The 11,708-nt window shown below is 45.8% G+C and overlaps 1 annotated feature.

Moving 5' to 3' along the window:
* Positions 1,184–1,383: an enhancer, noted in NCBI's record as "active region_17199". NCBI's record gives its function as "activates an Ori minimal core promoter by ATAC-STARR-seq in GM12878 lymphoblastoid cells {active_cell/tissue: GM12878}" and the evidence as "EXISTENCE:reporter gene assay evidence [ECO:0000049][PMID:35858748]".

Raw genomic sequence — 11,708 nt, 5'->3', positions numbered from 1 at the left:
GATTGAAAAACTTTAAGTAAACTAATCAAACCCTCTGAGATACTGAGAATTGTTGTTTGATTTTAGTTCAGAGTATTTTGTATTGGGCTGTGCTTGTTTAAGTTGTAACCCTCAAGAAGGTTTCCTCTGTTTTTATATATATATATATTTGCCATCCCTTCTGTTTTCCTAAATTCTACCTAGGTAGAAAACTGAGATGGTTTCAAGAATGAAACACACTCTACTCGACAATTCTTTAGCTCTTGCATTTGACAAAAGGGATCAAGTTCTAGAGGATAGACCCTCTAGAGGCAGTAAATGCTCAACTATTTACTAAGTGTGTGACCTTGAGGAAGTTATGTCACCTCCTTTGTTACTCCCTGGGTTCTTCATCTGTAGAATGATGCCACTAACACCTACCTGTGTCACATGTATAGTGTATGCACAGGGTCTGACACAGTGCCTGGCAATAGTAGAGGTCCCCTATTTGTTTAACAGATTTTTTTTTTGTGCACTCAGAAATGGGACAGATACTGTTTCGGGCACTGAGGATACAGCAGTAAATGAATCAGACAGATCCTGCGCTCAGGGGGCTCACATTCTAGGGCAGGGGGGAGGTAAGTGTTGGTGGGGGAAAAGACAGGAAAGATAAAGCCAGATAAGAGCATAAAGATGAATGGGGTAGAAGTGACGGTGTTTTAGCTGTGGGGATCAGAGAAGACTCCCATAAGGTGAACAGGAGTAGGAGTCAAAGATATTCATTCCTCTATTCCTTTGCTCCTCTGCAGGGAGAAATCCTACTTCCCGTGGTTACTAGGGAGAATGCCTCACTCTAACTCATTTCTGTCTGGGTGGGAGCAGTGCCAACAGAAATAAGAGATGGGTTTCAGGAGGCTCTGGCCTTGATAGGCATATGTCATCCCACCCAGGGAGTGCAATGCAAGGTCTTGTTGGTTTCTTTATTCCATAATAGTTGATATGCAAACTAGATTAGGCACTGAGAAATGCTTCTGTGTGGCCGGGCGCGGTGGCTCATGCCTGTAATCCCAGCACTCTGGGAGGCTGAGGCGGGCAGATCACTTGAAGTCAGGAGTTCGAGACCAGACTGGCCAAGATGGCAAAACCCCGTCTCTACTAAAAATACAAAATTAGCTGGATGTGGTGGCACACACCTGTAATCCCAGCTACTCGAGAGGATGAGGCTTGAGAATCTCTTGAACCCGGGAGGCAGATATTGCAGTGAGCCAAGATGGTGCCACTGCATGACAGCCTGGGTGACAGAGCAAGACTCCGTCTCAAAGAAAAAGAGAAAAGAAAAAGAAAAAAAGAAATGCTTCTGTGTAATGGAACTTCTGTTTGGGGAGCAATAGGTAAAAATAAAACCCTAGGAAATCCCCAGGTCTCTCTCAATGGGTTTGAGGTAAGAGTTGGCAGGTTGGTTTCGCCTCTGCTTGCCTGTGGGCAGAAAACCAAATGAATCAAAAGGCAGCCAGAATGGAATAACTAGCACCTTAAGATGACACCAGGAAACCTTGAGGGTTTCGCAGGCCCTCAGGATCTAAGCAGACAGTATGACTAATTTGTCTGTGCCCTAGACTTAGCTGCCTGTCTTCCCACACTTGTGGCTTCTCCTGAAAGAGCAGGAATGGCTGTGTTGAGTTGTTGCCCTGCAAGGTTGGACTTGAATAAAATTCAAAACACTTCACATCTTTGGGACTTAATAGTTTTTCTGAAGTAAGCTCCATACAGTTTCTCCTGTATAGTCAATGGGAGGGAATAAGGAAGAATGGGATATGTCTCCCTCCAAGAACCCAGGCACATTGCGTAGCATTAATAGACCCAAACAAAAGGATTCCCCTTCTTTCTCCAGAATCCCTCTTCAGCTGCACAGCTTGCAGCCACGAGAAGGTGAGTCTCTGTTGTGGAGAGAGACACATTTGGCTGACTAGGGGTACTGAGAATTGTCAACCTATAAATAAAGCATTCAGTCAGAAATTGTTAAACTCAGAAAAGCAGCTGAGAAATTAGTAACGGTGTTACTACGTTAAGATTTAAAGAGCTGGCCAGGCACGGTGGCTCACACCTATAATCTCAGCACTTTGGGAGGCCAAGGCGAGTGGATCACCTGAGGTCAGGAGTTCGAGACCAGCCTGCCCAATGTGGTGAAACCCCGTCTCTACTAAAAATACAAAAATTAGCCAAGTGTGGTGGCACATGCCTGTAATCCCAACTATTCAGGAGGCTGAAGCAGGAGAATCGCTTGAGCCTGGGAAGCAGAGGTTGCAGTGAGCTGAGATTGTGCCACTGCACTCCAGCCTGGGTGACAGAGCAAGAGACCATCTCAAAAAAAAAAGAAAAAAAAAATTAAAGAGCAAAGCAAGGCATGTGCCCGTAGTGCCAGCTACTCTGGAGGCTGACATGGGAGGATGCTTTGAGCCCAAGAGTTTGAGACCAGCCTGGGCAATATAGCAAGACCCTATCTCTAAAACAAAATTAAATTTAAATTTAAAAATATTTATGGAGCTGAGGGTTTTTAGAAGTATTTTACCAACTTACAAATTCTTACAATTTAGCAGCTCCAACACAGGCAGAGGGCAGATACACAAGAATCACTGCCAGTCACGAGGCTGAGGAGAATTTCAACACTGGTATGCATCTGTTCCTGAGGCCAATCCCTTAGCAAGGAAATCAGACACTTCTTTCAGATGCCTAAAAGTATCAAACACAAATATTTATGCGTCCAGGTATTAAAATTCATCAAAGGACCTTTCAAGTCGTTATACTAGCTGCTGTTGTTCTGTTCAACTCTAAGTTTCAGGAGCTTAACAAGTGTGTCCCAGACCCAGCCAATTCCCTAGACCACCCAATGTACCCGCAGTGGCCAAATGTCCCCTCTTGGGGTGTGGCCAGTGAGATTCTCAACTAACTTTTCTTCTATGTCTTAATAACACAAGACCTTCTATCCCTCCTTTTTTTTTTTTTTTTTTTTTTGAGATGAATCTCACTTTGTCGCCCAGGCTGGAGTGCAGTGGTGTGATCTCGGCTCACTGCAACCTCTGCCTCCCAGGTTCAAGCCAGTCTCCTGCCTCAGCCTCCCGACTAGCTGGGATTACAGGTGTGCGCCATCATGCCTGGCTAATATTTGTATTTTTAGTAGAGACGGGGTTTCACCATGTTGGCTAGACTAGTCTCGAACTCCTGACCTTAGGTGATCTGCCTGCCTCAGCCTCCCAAAGTGCTGGGATTACAGGTGTGAGCCACTGTGCCCGGCCGTATTCTTCCATTTTTAAGATTTGAGGCCCTTCTCTTAATTTCAAAGGGAAATGACTAAGAGGTATAACTCAGGAAAGACGAGCTGAATGTTAAGGGACAAGAAACGTCAGACTCCAGAGTATCCACAATGCTTCCAGACTGATTCTAAGTCCAGTCACATTTCTGTTAAGAGTGATCTAACAAGAAGCCAACAAATTATCTAGTCTAGAATCAGGGCTTCAACTGGACAGACCATTCAATACATTGAATATATGTGTGTGTGTATATATATGTGTGTGTGTATATATATATATATATACACATATATATATATACTTTTTTTTTTTTTGAGACAGAGTCTCACTCTGTCACCCAGGCTGGAGTGCAATGGCACGATCTTGGCTCACTGCAACCTCCACCTCCAGGGTTCAAGCAATTCTCCTGCCTCAGCCTCCCAAGTAGCTGGGATTACAGGCATGCGCCACCAAGTCCGGCTCATTGCCTGGCTAATTTTGTATTTTTAATAGGGACAGGGTTTTGTCATGTTGGCCAGGCTTGTCTCAAACTCCTGACCTCAAGTCATCCTCCCGCCTCATCCTCCCAACGTGCTGAGATTATAGGTGTGAGCCACCATGCCCAGCCACATTGAGTATATTTTAATGTATATTTAATATATTCCTTTTCAGAACTTACCTAGATTTAGAAATTTTAAAAAGATGCTCTCAAAAGGCATATGAAGACTATCTCTGCTAATTTATACAGAGACAGTCTCTAGAAAGATGTAAACCACTAGTACCCAGGGTTGCCTCCGTTGAGAGGAACTGGGTGCCTGGGGAATGGAGGCGAAGAGAGTATGGAGTTTTTTCCATTTGTATGAACCTTTTGACTTTTGTACTGTGTGTATGTATTACCTACTCAAAAGTAAGTAATTTTTTTTTTCTTTGAGATGGAGTCTCGCTCTGTTGCCCAGGCTGGAGTGCAATGGCGTGATCTTGGCTCACTGCAACTTCCACCTCCCGGGTTAAAGAGATTCTTCTACCTCAGCCTCCCTAGTAGCTGGGATTATAGGAGTGTGCCACCACCATGACCAGCTAATTTTTGTATTTTTAGTACAGATGGGGTTTCACCATGTTGGCCAGGCTGGTCTTGAACTCCTGACCTCTGGTCATCCACCTGCCTCGGTCTCCCAAAATGCTGGGATTACAGGCTTCAACCACCGTGCCTAGCAAAAATAGGCAATTTTAAAATTATATGTGAAGAAAAATCTGTAAATGTTTTTGTCATAACCCCCCACCCCCAACCCACCACCACCATTTTTTTCCTGTAAAAATTTTTTCAAGGCCTGAGGAAAATGATGAATTAAACTTTTCCTGACAGGAAAGACAACATCTGAAAATTCTGCCTGATAGATAGAGAGAAGCATCCTGGCAAGAGACACGGAGCTGACAGACGAAGAGATGCACGTCTGACAGAATTGGGACTATTCACCCAAAGTGAGACAAAGTGAAATGCCAAGCACATTGAGAATCTCTTCCTTCTTACTGTCAACGGATTCACCTAATCAAAGCACTTTTAGTCACTGCATCCAATTTCCATCCTCATCCAACACATGGTGGGGTCTTTTTCTCGTTTCTTCTGAGTTGACACACACAAAACCCAAGAGTCCCACTTTTGGCGAGGAACGTGTTGCTGTCAGCTTGCATTTGTTACCGCACATTGGTTCCCCGTGTCCCAGTAATGACCCCCTGTAAAGGCCACTGGGCAAGAGAATTGCAAGATCGAGCGAGGCGGCGGGAATTACAGGAAAGGATTAACGGCAGAACAGCCTGTTGCGACAGCGAAAAACAGCCCGAGGACAGGGGCGTGCTCCCATCTGACAGGCGGAAGTGTGCCAGGGTTTATGTATTAGGTCACAGCAAGAAAGCTATTTTTGCTGTGCCCTCTGACCTTCTGTAGAAGGTGAGCCCCAAGATGCCTATGATACACACCAGACTTTTGCAGGCTGCCCTGACTCAAGAGGGAAGAGCAGATGCTGACTAGTGCAGGGTCCTGTAGAGTTTGGGAATCCACCATTCACAACAGGATGAAAGGATTTTCATGGGTGTTGCCATCTGCTGGGTATGTGTGTTGGCAGCGGGGAGTCATTTACTAAGCAGATGCAGCCTTTCTGTTCCTCCTTCCTCAAACTCCAATTTAAAAAATAGCTAGTCCGGGCACAATGGCTCATGCCTGTAATCCCAGCACTTTGGGAGGCCAAAATGGGAGGATCTCTTGAGCTCAGGAATTTGAGACCAGCCCGGGCAACATAACGAAATCCTGTCTCTACAAAAAATACAAAGATTAGTTGCGTGTGGTTGTGAGCACCTGTAGTCCCAGCTACTTGGGGGACTGAGGTGGAAGGATCACTTGAGCCCAAGAGGTTGAGGCTGCAGTGAGCTGTGACTGCACCACCGCTCTCCAGCCTGGGCAACAGAGTGAGACCCTGTCTCAAAAAAAAAAAAATAAAAAAAATCTAATGGCCAAGTAGGCTTTAGAATTCTAAAAAGCTAGCAACGAAAGGAAACATGGTGCTATTGGCAGAGATTTGAAGTAGCAGTGGTCTCCCACAAAAGTGCTATGATGTACAGAGACTTAGAGGAGTCGCAGTGTAACCCTGGTTAAAGAGATTGGGAAGGTTCCATGGAAGAGGGGCTGAGCATTGTTCAATTTGTTGAGTAAACCCAAAAAGCAGTGCACTGAGATCAGGCCAAGCTAGAGATATCTCTGTGGCAAACACTGAACACTTTTATCACCCCCTTACATTTGGTAGAAGATTGTTGGAATCACCACTCTCCACAAACAGTCAGAAAAACTGGAACCAGATGGCATCTCTAAAAAAATGTGGCCCACAGCCATAAATGTGTGACTTGCATTCTCTTTCAGAACAAGAAAAGATGATGTAGATACTGCTGGTTTGGACTGGCTCAGAGAGAAAAGAAACAAATAGATGGGAGTACGTGCCAAGGGTCACTGATGCTTCCAGAGGGCAGTGGCCTCGGCTGTCTTACTCAAGGCTGAATTCTTAGCCCCTACAAGACTCATGCCTGGCATGTAACAAGTGCACAGCCAGTTTTCCTCCAATGAATGAGGGGCTTTCTCAGAATAAAGTTTTTGTAATCAGAGACCAAGACAGCCACTGATTCTCTGCAGCCTTGAAGTCTGTCTTTTCTGAATATCCAGACAGAGGACAAGTCTTGATTATAACGATCATTAGCCTAGAGTACTGCCCAGTTCTGAACTCAAGGATAAGAATCCCCTCCAAGCTCCTGCCAGGCTGTCTCCACACTCTGACATCACATCCTGCCTCTTTGATTAGGTTTCACAGTGAATTTTGCCCCTCCCAAACACACTTTGTTAATCTTTTTTAGGTCTGGGAATTCAGCCAAAAATTCCTGAAGGATGAATTCCTTTTCCTCGGTGAGGTTGACATTTGAGCACACATCGCCCTCTTGTGTCTACGACACATTTGGCAACGTAGTTTCCAGCACCTGCTAATGCACACAGCAAATTGAAGCCTTGTTAACATCCCTTAAGCCTGCAGACCTCGGTACAAGGCGGAGGGAGAACAAACGCACCAATTTTCCCAGAATAGTCAAGAACATCCAGAAGAATCCAGAATTTGTGAAGATGGTACTGGTAACTACCCAACCCAGAGCTTTGAAAGTTAAAAAATGTATAAGGTACCATAAAATTCATATTCAAGAGCTCACAGTCAGAAAATGTTTACCTTCTAAAAGAGCTGGACATTTTCCATAAACCGAAAGTTGGACTATACAGTAGATACATGAAGATGTCCTCCTAGCATTTTCATATTTGACCTATTGACTTTTGAATCACCATTCATATCCTCTTTGATGTTGCCCATCCACACACCCACACCCACATAAGCCATGTGTGTAAATATGCCCATCTGCAGGTTTTCTGTTCTTAATGACAATTTCAGACTGCTCGGCTTGCTCCTACACCTTCTTATGGAGATACAAGAACTTTGGATCTCTGGCCCCCCTCAGTCCTCGCTCCTCCATCCCTGTAAGCAGGTGCAAGGCGTGTTTCTGGCACAGTCCACCAAACTCCTGAATCTGAAGCTCCCACAGTCACTGACCCAAGTGTGGCCTGGATGAGACTGGTGGCCCAAGCCTCTATTATGCTGTTTTTTTTGTTGTTGTTGTTATTTGTTTGTTTGTTTTGAAATGGAGTCTTGCTCTGTCACCCAGGCTGGAGGCCAGTGGCGCAATCTCGGCTCACTGCAGCCTCTGCCTCCAGGGTTCAAGCAATTCTCCTGCCTCAGCCTCCCTAGTAGCTGGGACTACAGGCGTGCGCCACCACACTCGGCTAATTTTTGTATTGTTTGTAGAGACGGGGTTTCACCATGTTGGCCAGGATGGTCTTGATCTCCTGACCTCATGATCCGCCCGCCTTGGCCTCCCAAAGTGCTGGGATTTCAGGCATGAGCCACCATGCCCAGCCTTATACTGGTTTTTACAGCAAAGAGACTAGAATAAAAGATACTTTCACATTGACACTATAAAAATCGTCCTTTGAACACTTAGTTATGTATTGTTCTGGGTTAGGTAGTATAGATAAAGACATACTTTGCCCAGTAGGAAGGGACTCCCTTCATCTACGTACATTTTATGCCTCTATCTCTCATACAGGTGGACCTTACCTTCCGAAAACTGCTATCAGGGCCTCTGCAGGAGGCCCTGGCTGTGATAAATGTGCATCTGTAGAGTGCACAACCTGAACATCCTTACCAAGCAGCCCTGACCAATATCTTCCTGCCTAAAGAGTGCCAATGCTGAGAGTATGCCTTTAAAACCCCATTTTGGCCATTTCTCAAGAAGTAAGTGAGACTTGTACTTCCCTATCTCCCCTTAAGGGGAGTCCCCAGTGCATTAGTGGTAGAGCTCTCCCTAAGGACTTTTGTGTGCGTCTCCACCCTCTGTTCTTCTAGGTGCATCCTGTTTTTAATGGGGCATAATCTCTTACCTCAAAAGAGCAAAGCTCCACTGGCAAACCTCTAGACCACATTAGTGATCAGCAAGTAAGGGGGACATTTGGTGCAGCATCACATTTCTGACATCCCTTCATGCTTTTTATGTCTGACTCTGTCATCTCTGCTAAAAGAAGCCTCTCTTTTTATTTCCTTTTTTTCTTCTAGTTTTTTTTTTTGTTTTTTTTTTTTTTTTGTAGACAGGGCCTAGTGGTCTTCCTAGGCTGGTCTCAAACTTCTGGACTCAAGGGATATTCCCACCTCAGCCTCCCAAACTGTTGGGATTACAGGCGTGAGCCATTGGGCCCGGTCCTCTTTTTTTTTTTTTTTTTTTTTCTGAGACGGAGTCTGGCTCTGCCGCCCAGGCTGGAGTGTGGTGGCGCAATCTCGGCTCACTGCAGGCTCCGCCTCCCTGGTTCACACCGTTCTCCTGCCTCACCCGCCCGAGTAGCTGGGACTACAGGCTCCCACCACCACGCCCGGCTAATTTTTTGTATTTTTAGTAGAGACGGGGTTTCACTGTGTTAGCCAGGATGGTCTTGATCTCCTGACCTCGTGATCCGCCCGCCTTGGCCTCCCAAAGTGCTAGGATTATAGGCATGAGCCACTGCGCCCGGCTCCGGCCCTCTTTTTTCTTCTCTTATTCCAATATCACACACCAAAGAAGACTCGGTCCAGCAGCAGGAAATAAATCTGACCCTTGCCTCTAAGGTCTTTCTTTGATCGCAGCAGTGTTCATCTTTGTCTAACTGTAGCATAGGAGGAATATGATTTGCTCTGACCTAAATTATTTTCATACATTTTTTTTCTGATTTCCCATTAAATTGAGGCTAAGGGTAAAGGTCAGGGCCCTCTTGGTTTCTTGGTTTTGGATTGTAAAAGAGATTAGATTAAAAACATAAAATCTAGGCCAGGTGCGGTGACTCACGCCTGTAATTCCAGCACTTTGGGAGGCCGAGGCGGGCAGATCACCAGGTCAGGAGATCAAGACCATCCTGGCTAACACGGTGAAACCCCATCTCTACTAAAAATACAAAAAATTAGCCGGGCGTGGTGGCGGGCGCCTGTAGTCCCAGCTGCTCGGGAGGCTGAGGCAGGAGAATGGCGTGAACCCGGGAGGCGGAGCTTGCAGTGAGCCGAGATTGCGCCACTGCACACCAGCCTGGGCGACAGAGCGAGACTCCTTATCAAAAAAACAAACAAACAAACAAAAAACCCATAAAATCTCACTGAGTTGTCTCTCCAGGCTAGTTCCTACATTGTGAAGCACCCAATTGGATCAGTGTGATTGGCGTTTCCGAGTGATTCCGAAGACACTTCCCTTTGTCTGGGGCATGAGAATGGGTTCTTCTTGGGTGGATAGAGAAGTCTAAACATAACCGGCCGTCACTTGCTTCCACTCTAGTCTGGATCCTGTCACAACACCAAAACTAAATCCAGTCCAAACTGACCTGCCCTCCACCCCCTTCCTGGGTTTCCTCCCACTACTCTGGCTCACCTCTTGTGACTCCAGAAGAGGCTCCTCCTCCTTGTTCGTTTTCTGGGTCCCAGGGCCAACCTTCCAACAGCCTATTTGACATCTCCATGTAGATGACTCACAGGTACTTCCAATTCTGTAGATGACTCACAGGCACTTCCAATTCAACCTGACTGAACCTTTTAAAAATATATATTTATTTCTTTATTTATTTTGAGATGGAGTTTTGCTCTTGTCACCCAGGCTGGAGTACAGTGGCACGGTCTCAGCTCACTGCAACCTCTGCCTTCCAGGTTCAAGCGATTCTCCTGCCTCAGCCTCCCAAGTAGCTGGGATTACAGGTGCCTGCCACCACGCCCGGCTAATTTTTGTAATTTTAGTAGAGACGGGGTTTCACCACTTTGGCCAGCCTGGTCTCGAACTCTTGACCTCAAGTGATTCGCCTGCCTCAGCCTCCCAAAGTGCTGGGATTACAGACGTGAGCCACCGTGCCCGGCTGACCTGATTGAACCTTAAGCTACAACCTTGCTTCAACCCAAACAACCCAGCAACCAAGCTGCTCCTCTAACCACCTGGTCACTCAGACCAGAACCTGGAGCAATTTTTTATTGTTCCCCTCCCTCACTTTCCTTATCCAATCAATTGTTAAGTCCTTTCTAAATATATGTCAAATCCATCACTTCTTTCTGAAACCACCTTTGCAAAATTAAGACTGAGACAGTGAAGGAGATCTAAGTTAACCAACTCCATCTTGCTTCTAACCTCCAAGCTGTCCTTGTTCATTCCTGGGCATAGGCTGAACTAACTTTGGGAGAAATTTAGTTTATAGCTTCAACAAAGATGGTAACAGCTCTTTCCCAAAACAGACCTCCTCCTTGTCCAGGGACTAGACTGCCTTGTGGGACTAACATTAGCCACAAGATTAGAAATTATGGTTTAGGAGTCATGAAGCTGGAGGCTAAACTGCTCCTAGGATCAGTTCTTGAAATATTTTGCAGACCTGTACTTGATGGATCAGCTGGCACCATCCAGATCAATAAACTGGCTCATCTGATCTGGACCCCCCACCTAGGAACTGACTCAGCGCAAGAAGACAGCTTCGACTCTCTATGATTTCATTCCTGACCAATCAGTACTCCTGGCTCACTGGCTTCCTCCCACCCACCAAGTTATCCTTAAAAATTCTGCTTCCCGAATGCTAGGGGAGACTGATTTGAGTAATAATAAAACTCTAATCTCCTGCTCAGCCGGCTTTGCGTGAATTACTGTTTATCTATTGCAATTCACCTGTCTTGATGAATTAGCTCTATCTAGGCAGCAGGCAAAGTAAACCCTGTGGGTGGTTTACATTTCCACCTCCATTGCCACATCTAGATCCAGCATCACCACCCCTCTGCCTATTATAGCGGCTTCCTCCCCGGTCTCCACATCTTCATGTTGATCCTTTTCCAACTCCCTTCCACACTGCAGCAAAGGAAGCCCTCACTCTCCCACTTAAAGCATAGTCACTCAATCCAGGGGAAAGTCCAGGGTTACTTGCAAGTCCTACATTGCTGGGCAAGACCTGCCTCTCTCATTCCCAAAGCCTCCTTGTAAGCAATTCCCCCTTCTGTCTTCACAGCCCACATGCTCTGGCTTTCTTCTGATTCTTGGACTTCCAGGACTCCCTCCTCCCTCAGCTCCACTGCACTTGTTCTAGGCTTTCCCTGGAATGTTCTTGTTCCCCTACCTTCATGGCCAGCTCCTATTCAGACTTCAACTCTTAGCCATGTTCTCCAAGCACACCTTCCCCATCCCACACACTAGGTCAAGACCCCTCTGCTATAAGCTTCTCCTTCACAACACCTCTCACCATTATAACCAGGATATAGGTTTTGTTCTTCATAACCACGACTGTCTTCCAAGAAGGGTGAAATCTATATAATTTTCGATTTTTTTTTTTTTTTTTTGGAAACAGAGTCTGGCTCT

Source organism: Homo sapiens, chromosome 2, assembly GCF_000001405.40.
Source record: "Homo sapiens chromosome 2, GRCh38.p14 Primary Assembly".
NCBI classification, from domain to species: Eukaryota; Metazoa; Chordata; class Mammalia; order Primates; family Hominidae; genus Homo; species Homo sapiens.
This window is presented reverse-complemented; position numbering and strand designations above follow the sequence as displayed.